Source organism: Homo sapiens, chromosome 7 (assembly GCF_000001405.40).
Source record: "Homo sapiens chromosome 7, GRCh38.p14 Primary Assembly".
Classification (NCBI taxonomy): domain Eukaryota; kingdom Metazoa; phylum Chordata; class Mammalia; order Primates; family Hominidae; genus Homo; species Homo sapiens.
In genome coordinates, this window is record NC_000007.14 from 139,347,213 (window position 1) to 139,364,942 (window position 17,730).

The 17,730-nt window shown below is 43.5% G+C and overlaps 2 protein-coding genes across 4 annotated transcripts in view, besides 3 other annotated features; both read left to right on the top strand.

Moving 5' to 3' along the window:
• The window catches only part of LUC7L2 (LUC7 like 2, pre-mRNA splicing factor), an 82,983-nt gene that overhangs the window by 6,741 nt on the left and 58,512 nt on the right, over positions 1-17,730 (top strand). For 2 of the 3 annotated variants that reach the window (NM_001270643.2, NM_016019.5), the window contains exon 1: positions 12,682-13,110. The exons of the other annotated variant lie outside the window; for it this stretch is intronic. Coding sequence is in view for 1 of the 2 variants with exons in the window: in NM_016019.5 (NP_057103.2) it covers positions 13,050-13,110 (61 nt within the window). In the remaining variant the exon portion in view is untranslated. Of the gene's footprint in view, positions 1-12,681; positions 13,111-17,730 lie in introns of those variants that run through there. 3 annotated transcript variants of the gene reach the window in all.
• The window catches only part of FMC1-LUC7L2 (FMC1-LUC7L2 readthrough), an 82,118-nt gene that overhangs the window by 5,876 nt on the left and 58,512 nt on the right, over positions 1-17,730 (top strand). The gene's annotated exons all lie outside the window — the stretch shown is intronic.
• Positions 11,817-11,946: an enhancer, noted in NCBI's record as "active region_26759". NCBI's record gives its function as "activates an Ori minimal core promoter by ATAC-STARR-seq in GM12878 lymphoblastoid cells {active_cell/tissue: GM12878}" and the evidence as "EXISTENCE:reporter gene assay evidence [ECO:0000049][PMID:35858748]".
• Positions 12,667-12,716: an enhancer, noted in NCBI's record as "active region_26760". NCBI's record gives its function as "activates an Ori minimal core promoter by ATAC-STARR-seq in GM12878 lymphoblastoid cells {active_cell/tissue: GM12878}" and the evidence as "EXISTENCE:reporter gene assay evidence [ECO:0000049][PMID:35858748]".
• Positions 12,947-13,376: a silencer, noted in NCBI's record as "silent region_18695". NCBI's record gives its function as "represses an Ori minimal core promoter by ATAC-STARR-seq in GM12878 lymphoblastoid cells {active_cell/tissue: GM12878}" and the evidence as "EXISTENCE:reporter gene assay evidence [ECO:0000049][PMID:35858748]".

Here is a 17,730-nt window from a genome sequence, read left to right on the forward strand (position 1 = left end):
TTACACATTGCATGTATTAAATGTTTTTGAATACATAACTTAGCTCCACTAGGAGAGGTACAACCTCAACAGAACTATTCATAAAGCAGTTCAAGCCGGGTGTGGTGGCTCACACCTGTAATCCCAGGACTTTGGGAAGCTGATGTGGGCGGATCACCTGAGGTTGGGAGTTCCAGACCAGCCTGACCAACATGGAGAAACCTCATCTCTACTAAAAATACAGAATTAGCTGGGCATGGTGGCGCATGCCTGTAATCCCAGCTACTCAGGAGGCTGAGGCAGGAGAATCGCTTGAACCCAGGAGACGGAGGTTGCAGTGAGCCGAGATTGCACCATTGCACTCCAGCCTGGGCAACAAGAGTGAAACTCCGTCTCAAAAAAAAAAAAGGCCATTCAAAACACCATCTCTTCTAAGAGGTTAACATTAAAATAATAGTATTAATAGGTCAAACAAGCATTTATTCGACTGAATGTATAAAAAAAAGAAATGTTTAACATACCTTTTTTGTTTTGTTTTGAGACAAGGTCTCACTCTGTTGCCCAGGCTGGAATACAGTGGAGTAATGCAATCTCTGTCTCCCAGGTTCAAGTGATTCTTCTGCTTTAGCCTCCTGAGTGGCTGGGACTGCAGGCATTTGCCACCACACCCGGCTCATTTTTGTATTTTTAGTAGAGATGGGGTTTCACCATGTTGGCCAGGCTGGTCTCGAACTCCTGACCTCAAGTGATCGCCCGCCTGGGCCTCTCAAAATGTAGGGATTACAGGTGTGAGCCACCATGCCCAGCTGACATATGTTTATTTGTTCTCTGTTTTATTTCATGGATGCAGGTTTGTTATTAATACTGATATTTTACTTTGGTAAGAGTGAAGAAAGCAAAAGGGTGAGGATAGGTTAATGTTTTGATTTCCTTTGTTGTTACCATATTGAATATATACAATAATATGTACATTATAATATACAATATTATATACAATAATATATAATGTTTTTCCTTTTTTTTTTAATAGAGATGGGGGTCTCACTGTGTTGCCCAGGTTGGTCTTGAACTCGTGGGCTCAAGTGATCCTCCCACCTAGGACTCCCAAAGTGCTGGGATTATAGGCATGAGCCACCATGTCTGGCCATTATTTTTCAAGAAGAGATTTGAGGCAGAATTGTCTAATGGTAAGAAATATTACAGTTTTGAAGTCATATAGATTTAGATTGTTAAAAAATAAATATTTAGGCCGGGCACGGTGGCTCATGCCTGTAATCCCAGCACTTTGAGCGGCCGAGGCAGGTGGATCACAAGGTCGAGAGATTGAGACCATCCTGGCCAACATGGTGAAACCCCGTCTCTACTAAAAGTACAAAAATTAGCTGGACTTAGTGGTGTGTGCCTGTAGTCCCAGCTACTCTGGAGGCAGAGACAGGAGAATCGCTTGAACCCGGGAGGTGGAGGTTGCAGTGAGCCAAGATCACACAACTGCACTCAAGCCTGGTGACAGAGCGAGACTCCGTCTCAAAAAAAAAAAATATTTATATTATGATTCTACTTGTATAATTTACCAGATTTGTGATCTTGGGCAGGTTAGTTGACCTGTGCTTTTTCCTCCTTATATTAAATGGGAAGGCCAACAAGGTTGTTGTAATAATTGAGAATAATGTTTATATAAAACACTTAGGGCTGGGCATGGTGGCTCACGCCTGTAATCCCAGCACTTTGGGAGGCTGAGGCAGGTAGATCACTTGAGGTCAGGAGATTGAGACCATCCTGGCCAACATAGTGAAACCCCGTTTGTACTAAAAATGCAAAAAACTAGCCAGACACACGCAAGTAATCCCAGCTACTTTGGAGGCTGAGGCACAAGAATTGTTTGAACCCGGGAGGCGGAGGTTGCAGTGAGCTGAGATGGCGCCACTGCATTCCAGCCTGGGCAACAGAGCAAGACTGTGTCTCGGAAACAAACCAACAAGCAAACAAAAAAATCAGACACTTGCATGGTGCATAATGAGTGTTCAACAAAGAGAAAATCTTACTGTTTGTTTTTATCTTTTTACTTTATTCTCATTCCTTTTATCATGAACCCTTTTCTAAGCCCTACTGCCATCAGTCTTCAGAAGTGTATGCGTATTATGTTATTAAGGTTTAAATAATTTACTCAGGCCATTTCTGTTCACATATAACCAACCTGTACCTCCTATTCATAGTCGCACCATCAATAATCAGCTGAAGTCGGTGTTAGAAAGAATTGATTCTAGAACACAAACTATATTGGCAGTAAACTCTAAATTGGAAGGTCCCAGCCTGAGAATCCTGAGGTTTTGGTTACTAGTCTAGTGATAAGTGATAAAGCACTAGTGATAAGTGATTTACTTCATTTTGCTGTCTCTTGCTTACCTCCTTTAATGTCAACTGCTCCCCCCCCCCCCACCGGATTTTCCTTTAATAGTACTTAAATATGCTTAAGACTTTTCCTTCTAAAAACTACTCTGCCTCTATCTCAAATGCTTTTACAGCTACTACCCGCTGTTCCTCTTCACAAATGAATTAACGTATTCAAAGACTTGAATGAATTATATTCACTTGCTGTATTTTTGAAACTTCTAAAATAAGTTGTATCAAGGTAAATTTACATATAATAAATATACTCATTTTAGGTGTACAGGTCAATGAATTTTGACAAATGAATACACCTGTGTCATAAATATCCCAGTAAAGCTATGTAACATTTCCATCACCCCAAAAGGTTATCTTGTGCCCCTTTGCAGTCAATTCTCCTTCCCCACACCTGGTCTCGGCAACCACTGACCTGCTTGTTGTCACTATAGATTTGGCTTTTCCAGTATTTTATCTAAATGCAGCTATACAGTATGCAGTCTTTTGAGGCAGCTTCTTTTGTTGAGCATACTGATTTTGAGCCTTAACCTTATCTTTTTTTTTTTGAGACGGAGTCTCGCTCTGTGGCCCAGGCTGGAGTGCAGTGGCGCGATCTCTGCTCACTGCAAGCTCCGCCTCCCGGGTTCACGCCATTCTCCTGCCTCAGCCTCCTGAGTAGCTGGGACTACAGGCGCCCGCCACCACGCCCGGCTAATTTTTTGTATTTTTAGTAGAGACGGGGTTTCACCGTGTTAGCCAGGATGGTCTCCATCTCCTGACCTCATGATCCACCCGCCTCGACCTCCCAAAGTGCTAGGATTACAGGTGTGAGCCACTGCACCCAGCCACCTTATCTTGTTAGTAATCCATGTTGTTGTTATGTATCCATTTTCTGCATTTTTCACCACTTACTCATCCTCAATGCACTGCAGTCTGGTTTCCGCCCCTCTACTACCACCAAAACTGCAACCCAGAGGTACAGATGACCTTCAGGACACCAAACCCAGTGGATCTTAGTTATTTTTTATCTCGTTTGTTGTCTAGGGAGCATTTGACACTATGGGCAATTCCCTGCTTTTCCCTTGGCTTTGATGACACCACATTCTTCTTTTTTTTTTTTTGAGATGGAGTCTCGCCCAGTTGCCAGGCTGGAGTGCAGTGGTGCGATCTTGGCTCACTGCAACCTCTGCCTTCTGGGTTCAAGTGATTCTCCTGCCTCAGCCTCCTGAGTAGCTGGGATTAACAGGCGCCCGCCACAACGCCTGGCTAATTTTGTATTTTTAGTAGAGATGGGGTTTCACCATGTTGGCCAGGCTGGTCTCCGACTACTGACCTCGTGATTTGCCCGCCTTGGCCTCCCAAAGTGCTGAGATTACAGGTGTGAGCCACTGCGCCTGGCCCACATTCTTCTGTTTTTTTCTTACTCTAGTCATTTTTCAGTTTCATGTTCTGTGTATCCCTTACATGTTGGGTATTCCTCAGGGTCCAGACCAAGGTCCTTATGTCACACCCTACATGGTTTCCCCTGAGTGATCACCTCCACTTTCATGACTTCAATTATTCTCAAAATGCTTGATAACTCCAGTTCAGGCTCCTCTGGCATGCTGAAGACCTGTATGTCCAACGGCCTGGAGGATGACACCACTTAGATAACTCAGTTATCTCAAATTCAATGTGTGCGAAATGGAACCTCCTCATCTTCCCCTACAAATCTCTCCTGGTATTCCCTATCAGTTCAATGACACTTTCACTCAGTCCCTGAAGCCAGAAATCTAAGTTATTCTTTACTGCTTTCTCTCCTTCATATCTTCAGTTAAACAATCACTAAATCAGATTTTACCTCCTAATAAGCCCTTCAATTTTTATTGCTGCTATCCTAGTGTAGACCTCTTACATCTCTTCCCTTAACCACTGCCCTCCCTAATTGGTCCCTTTTACCTCCAATTATGCTCTCTTCAAGTCCATTTTCCCCTATGCAACACAGATCTGTTCTTGTCATTCTACTCAGAACCCTTCAAAGAAAGACTTTAACAAGAACCTCCAGGGCCTGGCCCTTGCCAGACCTCTTCAGCTTCATCTCTATTCTCTGTGTTTGACAGTCCAGCTAGAACTGAATACAGAAATTCAGTTATTGGGAGCCATGGTCTTGATTTCAACATTTTGCTGTTCCTCATACAGGGAAAGCTCTTCTTCCAATCATACTCCCCTTCAATAGCTCTTTCCTATTCATTCTTCAGGATTTCAGGTTAAATTTCACTTTCTTTTCTTCAACAAGGATGTATGAATGCCTACTACATGGGTGATACTGCCTTAGCTACCCTTACCTTTTCACTCTTAAACATGTGGGGAGGTGGCTCCTGTTTGTAATCCCAGCACAGTGGGAGGCCTGGATGGGAGGACTGCTTGAGGCCAGAAGTTTGAGACCAGCCTGAGCAACATAATGAGACCCTGTCTCTAAAAAAAATGTAAAAATTAGCCAGGTGTGGTGGCATGCCCCCATAGTCCCAGCTACTCAGGAGGCCGAGGTAGGAAGATCACTTGAGCCCAGGAATTAGAGGCTGCAGTGAGCTATGATCATAGCCACTGCTCTCCAGCCTGGGCGACAGAGAAAGACCATCTCTAAAAAAGAAGAAAAGCCAGGCATGGTGGTCCACACCTTTAATCCCAGCACTGTGGGAGGCTGAGGCAGGAGGATGGCTTGGGGCCAGGAGTTTGTGACCAGCCTGGGCAACATAAGGAGACACCTTCTCTACAAAAATAAAAATAAAAAAATTAGCTGGGCATGGTGGCACCTGCCTGTAATCCTAGCTGCTCAGGACACTGAGGTAGAAGGATCCCTTGAGCCTGGGAGGTTGAGACTGCAGCAGTGAGCCATGTTTGCGCCACTGCATTCACCCGGGTGACAGAGCAAGACCCCATCTCAAAGATATAAATTATTTTAAAAAGTTTCTTTCAAGCAATATAGTTTATATGCTTACTGATTTTAATTCCCCTGTCTTGAATAAACCAATTAACTAGTTCTTTTGGTTTAGGTTTGGCTCTTGTCATTTCTCCTCTCCACAAACTTCAGATATTAATACATTTTCACTAGAACTGAGGATGTTTCTGGCTATAAAGTATTGAGTTCCTTGTCTGGTTAAGTGTTAGAGATACAAATATGAACATGTGATAAGAACAAGATGTTCACATACTAGGATTATGTGGTGGGAAAAGAAATCTGTGTTGCTCTGAACTAAAGGCAGGCTAATCCAAGGCAGTCTGTAAAGTAAGTTTTAATTTATCCAACTAAAAGATAGTAATTTTCAAAAAATTTGAATTTTAAAATCTACATTAATAGGCACCGGCCGGGCACGGTGGCTCATGCTTGCAATCCCAGCACTTTGGGAGGCTGAGGCAGGCAGATCACCTGAGGTCAGGAGTTCGAGACCAGCCTGGCCAGCATGGTGAAACTCTGTCTTTACTAAAAATACAAAAATTAGCTGGGCTTGGTGCCAGGTACCTGTAATCCCACCTACTTGGGAGGCTGAGGCAGAGAATCGCTTAAACCTGGGAGGCAGAGGTTGCAGTGAGCCAAGATCCCGCCACTGTACTTCAGCCTGGGTGACAGAGCAAGACTGTCCCAAAAATTAATAGGCACCATGTTTATAAAATTTGATTGTATGTACCGATGCCCCAAGTAAAACCGCAATATTAATTTGTATGATATAGCCTTTATTTACCATATTTAGTTCATAAATTACAATAAATTGAAGGGTTGTCTGTTCTGGACAGCTAGCAAAACATGTTACTTGTACCTATTCTGTTTTAATTACCTAGTTTTAAATGTATAGTTTAATCCTACTTTATATTATTTTGTTACCCTCTGAGACCTTGTTCCTGGAAGAGGAATGGTTATCATTGCTAAAATGTAGACATAGACATACAGAGATTTTTTTTTTCAGATGCTAAGATGAATACATGGTTACTACACTTAAAATTTTTGCTTTGGGAGGCCAAGGCGGGTGGATCACGCAGTCGGAGGCCATCCTGGCCAACATGGTGAAACCCCATCTCTACTAAAAATACAAAAATTAGCCGGGCGTGGTGGCAGGCTCCTGTAGTCCCAGCTACTCAGAAGGCCGAGGCAGGAGAATCACTTGAATCCGGGAGGTGGAGGTTGCAGTGAGCCTAGATTGCGCCACTGCACTCCAGCCTGGTGACAGAGCAAGACTCCATCTCAAAAAAACCCAAAAAAAACAAAGAAACAAAAAAAAATTGAAGGCCAGGCACGGTGGCTCACGCCTGTAATCCCAGCACTTTGAGAGGTCGAGGCAGGCGGATTGCCTGAGCTTGGGAGTTCAAAACCAGCCTGGGCAACATGGCGAAACCCCGTCTCTACTAAAAATACAAAAAATTAGCTGGGCTTGGTGGCTGGCACTTGTAATCCCAGCTACTCAGGAGGCTGAGGCAGGAGAATTACTTGAACCTGGCAGGCAGGGGTTGCAGTGAGCCGAGATCACGCCACTGCACTCCAGCCTGGGCAATAGAGACTCGGTCTCAGAAAAAAAAAAATTGAAAAAATTTACAAACAGGAGAACAAACTTCCAATTCTGTTAATGGCAGTCTAGGTAATTTGGAGTGACCCTTCTGTTGAAGACAATTGGAACAAAAGTCAAAATTTTTTTAAATTCTTGAAATCATTAAAGAGCTAATAAAACTAGTGGTGAAATGCTGGGTCAGAACATAGGAGAAGACAACCAAGACAAGTAGCGTAGCACACAAAGACACATTGCTGGCATGATGGCATTTGTCAATTTATTTATTTTTGAAGCAGAGTCTCTCTCTGTCACCCAGGCTGGAGTGCAGTGGCACGATCTTGGCTCATTGCAACCTCCGCCTTCCGGGTTCAAGCGATTCCCCTGCCTCAGCCTCCGGAGTAGCTGGGATTACAGGCACGTGCCACCACAACTGGCTAATTTTTTTATTTTTAGTAGAGATGGGGTTTTGCCATGTTGGCCAGGCTGGTCTCGAACTCCTCACCTCAAGTTATCCACTGGCCTTGGCCTCCCAAAGTGCTGGGATTATAGGCATGAGCCACTATACCCTGCCAGCATTTGTCAATTTGGTAGAAATAGCTTCAGTATTGAAACTGAGCTGCACTTTGAGTGAGCTATAGGACTGAGAGAAAAAAAGTTTTGGCTCACAAAGGTAGGGACTCTAATAAATCACACCCACTTTAAGCTAGGACCCTGAAATTCAATCCCAAAAGTGAATTGGAAGTAAATAAAACAAAAATTCTTGCTGGACTTTTTTTTTTTTTTTGAGACAGGGTCTTGCTCTGTTGTCCAGGTTGGAGTGCAGTAGTAAGGTCATGGCTGATTGCAGTCTTGACCACATGGGGCTCAAGAGAGCCTCTTGCCTCAGGCTTCTGAGTAGCTGGGATTACTGGCGCACAACATGCTCTGCTAATTTTTATTTTTGTACTTTTTGTAGAGACAGGGTTTCTCCATGTTGCCCAGGCTGGTCTCAAACTCCTGGCCTCAAGTGATTCTCCTGCGTAGATCTCCCAAAGTGTGGGGATTACAGGTGTGAGCCATGGTGCCCACCCAGCCTCCTTGCCAGACTTTCCGCCCAGATTTTTGTTGTTTGTTGGTCAAGAGAAAATGAGGCCTTGAACCTGTATTATGGTGGTTCCTGACTAGTAATCTCTTCAGTTACCTAAAAAGGAAAATAAAAATCCTCTCTGGAGGAAGACAGGATTATATCCTATACTTAGGGCTTATATTATTTCTATACATTTTTTTTTTTTTACAAATACATGTTTAGCACACAAAGAAAACCAGGCACACAAGAAAAGACTTCATATGTGAGAACCAACATGAGCAACAGACCACAAAAAACCTTAAGATACTATAATTGGCCAACTCAGATTACACAACAATTGTTCACTAAGGTCAAAGAAGCAGCCAAGCTTGGAAATTTCATCAGGGAACCAGGAACTATAAAATGACATTATAGGTTTGATAAAGAACCTAATACAAATTCTACAACTGAAAATTCAACTGATGGATTTAACAACAAATTAGATACAGCTCCATAGTGACATTAATGAACTATAAAATTTGTCAGAAAAAGGCATCGGCTTTGAAAGACCAAGGTAAAAAGTGCAAGACTGAGAGTAAAGAGATAGGATACAGTGAAAACTATCTAATATGCATGTATTTAAATGTCCAGAAGTTGATGAGAGGGGCAATATCTGAGGAGGTAAGAGCTAAGAATTTCCTAAATTGACAAAAGATGTTAGTTAATGGATTCTCAATGAACGAATGAATGAAAACTCATTGTTCAATGAGTCCATAATGGCATGATAAAGTAGCCAGCTATCTTTAAAAGAGTGAAAAACAGAACTGACTTCTTAGGAGCAGTGGAAGGTAAAAGGTTAGGTAGAATGTATGTGCCCAAAGAAAATAACCACTGGGCGTGGTGGCTCACACCTGTAATTCCAGCACTTCAGGAGGCTGAGGTGGGCAGATTGCTTGAGCCCAGGAGTTTGAGACCAGCCTGGGCAACATAGGGAGACCTTGTCTCTACAAGAAAAATTTTAAAAATTAGCTCAGTGTGGTGGTGCATACCTGCAGTCCCAGCTACTTGAGAGGCTGAGGTGGGAGGATCACTTGAGCCCGGGAAGCCAAGGCTGCAGTGAGCCAAGGCGAGATCTCGCCACTGCACTCCAGCCTGGGTGACAGAGCAAGACCCTATCTCAAAAAAAAAAAAAAAAAAAAAAAAAAAAAGGAACCTCCAACCTAGGATTTAGCTAATAAAAATATCCATTTAGAATTTAAAGCAAAATAAAGATCTTTTTAGATAAACAAAATGGGAGCGTTCCCCCAACTAGCCGACCAACACAAAAACAAACCCTGAAGCAAGGTAGGCAAACTTCATAGTCAGGCTGGGCACAGTGGCTCACCCTGGTAATCTCAGCACTTTGGGAGGCCGAGGCAGGTGGATCACTTAAGGTCAGGAGTTTGAGACCAGCCTGGCCAACATGGTGAAAACCTGCGTTAAAAAAAAAAAAAAAGTCAGATAGTAAATATTTGAGTGTTGTAGGCCACACAGTATGGGATCCCTCACAAACCACCCAACTCTATTGTGGGGCAAAAGCAACCACAACAATATGTAAATGAACGAGCCTGGCAGTATTCGAATTTTTGTGAAACTTTATTCACAAAAATAGGCCGTGGGCTGCATTTGGCCTGTGGACCGTAGCTTGCTGACTCCTGTGCTAAAGGATAAACTTCAGACAAAAAGGAAATGATCCCAGATGGACAGGCAGAGATTTCCGAAGGAATGAAGAGCAAAATAAGTGGTAAATAAAGAACATTGATTATATAAAACTTGGTTTTAAAAAATAAGAGAACTAAAAGACCTGGTAACAAGAGCATATAACTTGGGATGAGAGTAAATGGAGTTAGTGTTCTAGGTTCCTTGTATTACCTCTCTTGGGGGAGGGGAGTATAAAGGTATTGATTAAATTAGACTTTGATACCTTAAGGATACACATTATAACTTCTAGGGTAATCACTGAAAGAATAAAAATATAATAAAATGAAACTTCCACACTACTAGAGTGGAAGAAATTGGAATGATTAAAAATCAGGCAGGAAAGGAGAGAAAAACATGAAATAGATGAGACAAATAGGCAAAAATAAGAGTTTTAAACCCAAACACAGGAGTAATTACATGAATATAAATCATCAATGCTTCCAAGAGTGAACATCACTTAATTCACTCCTCAATTTCACTCCTCAATTTTGATCATTATGTATTGTATAGACTATTTTTAAGCCCCAATTATATGCTGTTTATAAGACATCTAAAATAAAAAAAAGAACTCAAATCTCTTCAACAAAACATAATTATTGGTTTTAGTGTATTTCTTTAAATACACTGTTTTTCAGGGTCAGATCACATTGTGTACATAATAGTGTATCCCTCAAAGACATATTAATTTGCACATTTTTCTATTATTATAAATCAGTTCCCAAAGGATATCCTAGTATTTGGAGTTTGGAATTCAGAGTTCTCTGAATAACTGAAGAGAAGCTATTTTGTGTATTACTAAAGATAACTTGATTCAAAATAATTTTTTTTTTTTTTTTGAGATGGAGTCTCACACTCACCAGGGCTGGAGTGCAATGGCGCGATCTCGGCTCACTGCAACCTCCGCCTCTTGGGTTCAAGCGGTTCTCCTGCCTCAGCCTCCGGTGTAGCTGGGACTACAGGCATGCGCCACCACGCCCAGCTCATTTTTTCTATTTTTAGTAGAGACAGGGTTTCACCATGTTGGCAGGCTGGTCTCAAACTCCCGACCTCGTGATTCGCCCGCCTCGGCCTCCCAAAGTGCTGGGATTCCAGGTGTGAGCCACTGCGTCCGACCTCAAAAATTTTCATTGGCCCAATACGCATTTATTTTTGAGATAGAGTCTTGCTTTGTACCCAGCCTGGAGTGCAGTGGCATAATCTCGGCTTACTGCAACCTCCACTTCCCGGGTTCAAGTGATTCTCCTGCCTCAGCCTCCGAGTAGCTGGGATTACAGGCACGCGCATCCATGCCCGGCTAATTTTTGTATTTTTAGTAGAGATGGAATTTCACCATGTTGGTCAGGCTGGTCTCGAACTCCTGACCTCAAGGTGATCCGCCCGCCTCTGCCTCCCAAAGTACTGGGATTACAGGCATGAGCCATCCCTCCCAGCCGCAATATACATTTAAAGGAATTTTGGGACTATTACTACTATTCATGTTTTTTATTGATCTGCTAATAACAGTTCCAAGGCGATGAGTATACAGTGTTAATGGAACACAAATCTCTATTATTTCCTTTCAAAGTATCCAGGAAGTGCCTGTCTTCTTAAACATTTGATTTTATTAACTCATTCTTCTTACAGTTTTAAATTTCTTTTTAGGCGATGAATATACAGTGTTAATGGAACACAAATCTCTATTATGTCCTTTCAAAGTATCTAGAAAGTGCCTGTCTTCTTAAACATTTGGTTTTATTAACTCATTCATTTTTCTTACAGTTTTAGATTTCTTTTTAAGCAACCTTTCTTCCTGCACACTGACCTATGTCTTACTTAAGGAATTTTTTTTTTTAGAAGTCTCGCTCTGTCGCGCAGGTTGCAGCGCAGTGGCGTCATCTCGACTCACTGCAACCTCCGTCTCCCGGGTTCAAACGATTCTCCTGCCTCAGCCTCCCGAGTAGCTGGGGAGGCGCCCGCCATCACGCCCGGCTAATTTTTATATTTTTAGTAGAGACAGGGTTTCACCATGTTGGCCAGGCTGATCTTGAACTCCTGACCTCAGGCAATCCACCTCCCTTGGCCTCCCAAAGTGCGGGGTTTACAGGCGTGAGCCACCGCGCCCGGCAAGGAATTAATATTTTACTAAAACAGTTTTTAGAAACACCAGGGAAAGGCTCAGGGCTAAGTATTTTATTCCAGTTTGTTCTAACAGCCACGCCATAGCAGACGTGTGACCACCTCCACCAGCCCTACGAGGGGTAGAACTGAAGCCAAGGCCCCAGTCACGGGCCGGGCTTCAGAATCCAGGCTTCCCTGCGGCCAGCGCCGCTGGCTCCCTGCTCCCCGAGATCGCCTCCCCAGTAGCTGAGAATACGCTGAGTTTTTATGGTTTCACATTCAGACTAAGCCGCCCGCGACCTTGTAGGTAAAGATGAATCCGAATGGGTCGGCGCGCCTGTTTCCTAGGGTACTGCTTTCGGGCGCTTTCTCCTGAAGTTGACACTTCCCAGCCGAGGAGCCTTAAAGCCCCACGCAGCGGAAGGAACGCGGCCCCGGCGGCGGCGAGACAGGCCTGCTCCCGGCCGGGAAAGGCGCACGAGAACCAGGACGCGTCCACGCCACTCGGGGCGGGCGTTCGCCCCGAGCACGCCCACCTCAGACGCCAAGGAGGCTGACCGCAGTCCGGTCGACGATGGGCATGGTCTCTACTTACTTTCCGCCCAGGCTAACCTCTAGCGCATTTTGCTAATTTGGGTCTGAATCGCCATCACCGCGGGCAGCGCAGCCTTAGCCGCCAGCCCTACAGCCGGGAGGGAATGTAATGTAAGGTTTGGCGCCTCGGGGCGGATCCGGCTTGCACAGTCAGTTAAGGAACCAGAGTATCGCGAGATCCGGGGTAAAGGGGCGGGAGGAGCGCGCGTGCACGCGCCCAGAGCCGTTAGGGTGGAACTCCACTCGGGCGGGGCGGGCGGAGTGATACAGCTGGACGCCAGTTGGTGGAGCCCCCGCGGGAAACGACTGAGCGCGAGGAGCGTGCGCGCTCCCGTCGTGGCGACGGTGGCGGCGAGCGGCGTCAGAGCTTGAGGGGGGGTTGACGGCTTCTGGCGGGTGGCGGTGTTGAAGGCGAGAGCTTGCTTGGCCCGTGTCGCTTCTGTCCCAAGAACCGGACGGAGAGTGAGGGCACGAGGGTCGCTGTCGGGGGCTGTCGTCTTCCACGTACACGTCGTCGTGAGGAGCGCAGTCCGGACTCTTCCCGCAACCCCTCCGGCTCCCTTTCCGCACGCCTCGAGGCGGCGGCGGCCACCGAGACAGCAGCGCACCTTCCCCCATCCCTTCCCCTTATCCCCCAGCCCAAAAGGGCCCGGTCTGCGCCCCACCCCCGCCCGTCCGCCCGCTACGCCGCCGCCATGTCGGCGCAGGCCCAGATGCGCGCGATGCTGGACCAGTTGATGGGCACCTCCCGGGACGGTAAGTCTCTGCCAGGGCCCTGGGGGTGGGGGAGGGGACGGGGACGGCGAAGGGAAGGGGTTCCGAGGGCGCACCTGGGCGCGCGCGTGTGGCTGAGTAAGGGGCTCCCAGATTGGTAACACGAGGTCCCCGTCCCCCGTCCCATCCAATCAGGGCTCGGCAGGCGGGCAGGGGGGGCGGTGACCATGCGGATTGGCGGGAACTGCTGCCAATGGGGTGAGGCGGGGCCTGGAGGCAGAAAGGAGAGTTTGTGCTTTTAATGTTGACTTGGCTGAGACGGGAGAGCCCGCGTCTCTGTTGCGTAGTTGGGGGGCCCGTTTTGTCGCTGGTTAGGTACCTGCGGAAAGCTAAGGCCTCCACCCCCGATATAATTCCTTAACCCAGAGCTTTGGGATCATCCCTCGCCGCCGTCCTCCAGAGTACCTAGAGAGAAGCTTCCCCCTCCTCTTCCTGGGTCAGGAGGAAACCTTTATTACTAACCCAGTCTCAGAGATGCACCCTCGAGCCCCACAGAAACAACCATTTTTATGGAAAATCTGACCCAAACCATGGTTTCTTAAGTGGGTGTGTTTGGCCCCATTTTGTGAGAAGGAACATGTTATGGCCTGTTTTTCCGAGAGACCTCCATTTTGTTAGACAATTTAATAGAGGCTTTGTTCAGTAAATATTGACAAATGTTGCATGTCCCTAACAGAACGATTTTGAAAATTTGGTACCCAGTGAAGTAGAATAGAGGAGAACAAAGATCCTTTCAGGCGTTTAGTTTAGAATCTGTATAGAGAGCCCTTAATTGCTGGATTATCCTTTGTCATAAAGAGAATTTCTAAATAAAATGATGAAATGCTGTTGCTTTTTTGGTGATGTTAATTAGTAATGTACTCTCAAATTCAACTTAAATACATTCAAATATGTAGGAAAGGTCTAGTTCATTACTTTCTTAACACAGCAAAATCCTTGGTAGTTTTTATGTGTTGCTTCTTTAGGCAGATAGTTTCTTAGCCACTAAGGAAATGCTTTTTTTCTTGAGAAGTTATTTAAGTGTATTGATTTAAGAGAAAAGGCACGTCTTAAATTTAGTTTTTAAGTTACTCTTTTAATTTACATGAGTGCTTTACAGCAAAATATGAGTAAATTTTAAAAATTTTATTGCATTCAAATCTTTCAGCAGTGCGTAGAGTGGCTTTTCAGTGTTCACATTTTCAGTTTTAATAAAAACCCATATTGGGAACTTTTATTTGTAGAATATATAGACAAATAGGTGTAGATGGCAAACCTACTTGTGGTTGTGTAGAGAGGAAAGATTGGGAAGGAAATGAGTTTTGTATGGAAAGTTAACATTAACTTAAAATGCCACTGGAGAAACTTTTAACTGTTATCATTTCTCACGTTTAGATAAGAATGGTTACTTTATCACTGCAGCATGTCTTAACATTCCTCCTTTTCCAACATGAGAGAGGGTATTGGGAACGGGTTTCATTGGATCCTAGCTAACAGAATAACTAATCTGTGTAATAAAATTAAGTTATTTAAGACGTGCTTTACATGATCCTTTTAATCCTTGATGGATACCATTTTTGGGATCTTCTTCATGGATTGGATTTCTTAGTTTTACTGGGAGGGTAGTTGGATCAAGGTAAACCATCTCCTGATAAGTTTCTGAATTAGGCAGCCCGTCTAGTATTGCAAAGCTAAATTTAAATATATATATTTCTGTGTGTGTAGTCAGCAGAAACATGGATTTCTTAAAATCCACTTTGTGTATTTTTTTATGTGTCTGTTACTGGATTTTTTTTTTTAACCTTCAGACTTAGAGGATTTATGATCGAACTCATATTTACGAGTCCACAGTATTGTTTAGCTGAAATGACTGGATTTTCACTGCTGTATTGGGTTAGAAGTAAAAAATATACTACTTTCAAGGAAAAATAATTGAGTGGAGTTTTTTTTAGATATCAAAATTAATTCTATATATGCAAAATAATCAGAACATTCTTTTTTTTCTTACCATTTAATGAGTTTATATATATCATTTTATGATTCAGGACTTTTAATAATTAGGATTGTTCTTTTTTAGCATACAGTCAACTTCAAGTTACCCAGGGATAGGGGAACATGGAAACGTCCCCTGAATAACACCATGTAATTTGAAACCATTTAATGGGAACCCTTGTATTGGACACACAAACAGCCTATGGGAACGCTGTTGGGTGTCTTTGGCACTAAGAGGTGGAAATGGGTATCCAGGAGGTGGGAGAGAGATGGAAAAGGTAGGTAGGAGGGTATTTAAGGCAACTCTGTCCTTTTTTTTTTTTTTTTTTAATTCCAGAGACTATAAAGCAGCGACTCTCTTTTTTGGAAGTGGGGTTCAAGGTGGCAGTGACCCCCTCCACTCTTAGTGTCCTGTCTGTGAAGGAATCTGAAGTGGCACAGAGTCCTGGGGCTTTGGGAAAACATTACCTCCTCACCCCCTCAAGGTTTCTTCCCCCTCCCCTTCCTGACAGTTTTTAATTAGTTCCTTTTAAAATTCATTGGAGATTTAAGTCTGTTAGTTAAATATACCTTAACTTGAATTACATAAAGTAGTTAATCATTTAGATTACCTAAACTTCACTGGAATCCTTAGGAGTAGGAATTTTGTTAGCAGGGAAATGGAGAGGTAATTTTGGATCACTGGGCACTTCAAGAAAGGACATTCCTGGGTGAGTGGTGGAAGTTGGGGGCTTTAGACAATCTGAGGGCAGCATGATGGTGCCGGGAGGCTGGGCAGGGGGACTGCCAGGAGGTGGGAGAGAAATGCATAAGGGAGGTGGGAGGGCCAAAGACAAACTCTGCCTTCTTTGCAATTTTGCCTAGGGCCCTGGTGGTGGCAACCGCCTGTGTGCCACTGAAAATCGTGCCGATGCCTGGCATACTGCATAAATGGAAGCAGGGTACCGCGTGAGTTGAAACATTGGTCACACTATATAAAGTTTGTATATGTGAATCAGTGTAACTCATACCCATATAACTGGGGGTCTGACTGTATTTGGATTTTTCTGATAAGGCATCATGGGCTAAGGAAAAGAGCACTGGGCTGAGACTCAGGAGACCTGGTTTCTAGCCCCAGCTGTACCTCTAATTGTAACCTTGGGTAAGTCACTTAACCTTTTTTGCCTCAAGTTAAATCTGTAATTTGTTATATGGGAAACCAAATAATTTCCTATGTTATACTCAGAAATGTTGAAAAATAAATATATTTTAAGTTTTTTTAGAAAGGAGCTATAAGTAGATAGTAATTACTAGTTTATTTTATCTTGTTTATGATTCATTACGTTTTATAAATATCTTTCTGTTTTAGTTGTTAGCAGAGGGGAGAGGGATAATTTGTTTTCCCTGAACATATTCATTCTATTTGAAAGCAGGGAGGAGTTGCACAGGAAAATCCAAGAAACAGTTTGAGAATTGTCTGTGTGACAGTTGGAAGAACCCAGTACCCTCACACAGACTGTGATTTTTGCTCAGTTGGATTAATTGCAAGGATGTTCCTTAGCTAAAGCCCCTTTGCCAACAAACACAGTTTGGTCATAAGTCTCTAGTCTTGATCCCAGGAAAGTCTGGGAAGATGCAAGCAATAAGAATTAAATAAAATTGAGGGTGTGGATTTAGATTACATCCTTTTTTTTTTTTTTTTTTTTTTTTTTTGAGACAGGGTCTCTGTTGCCCAGGCTGGAGTGCAGTGGCACGATCTCGGCTCACTGCTACAACCTCCACCTCCTGGGTTCGAGTGATTCTCCTGCCTCAGCCTCCCGAGTAGCTGGGATTACAGGTGGCTGCCACTACGTCTGGCTAATTTTTGTATTTTTAGTAGAGATGGGGTTTCTCCATGTTGGCCAGGATGGTCTCGAACTCCTGACCTCGGGTGATCCACCATGCCCAGCCTAGATTACATTTTAAGCTTAGAAATTAGGTAAGTTATAGAAGGTAGTTCTGAGGGTTCTGTATCTCTTAATTGCTTATACCTTTAAATGGGAGCAGAGACCACCTTCGAAAGATTAAAATAGGCAGGAATGGCAGCCTGCCCTCCAAAACAACAAGTAGACTAGGAATGTTAGATAGAATTTTATAGCATCATTAATTGTCCCTTATGGTTAGGGACTGTTTCGGGCAAGTTAAAACTTTCAATAATTTTAACTATTTTAAATGTTAATCTTTCTAAATTGTAGGATATACTTCCTCAGTTAACATATTAATCATAATATTTTTGCTGATCAGTTGTACAGTAGTTATAGTTTGTGGGATATAAAACTGAAAGGATACTCATCCTCATACCCAGGAAAATACTGTTAAGAAAGCCATTTACTTGTTGCTAATGTAAGGTTAGTAGTACATAACCGTGTAATCTGTAAGATAGTATGACATTTCTGCCTTTCTGCAAAATTACTGAATCAAAGTTTGAAGTAGTGCGTTCTTTAATGGATTTTATTTATAAAATCATCTTTACTGTAATCTGTGTTCCTTGACTTTTCATCAACATTGAAAACATTTTCTCTTAATTTTTTCTCATTAACATAATGAACCATATTCATTTCTTGGTCAGTTGTGAGCCATTCTTTTATTCCACTTGGATTGTTCATTTTAAGT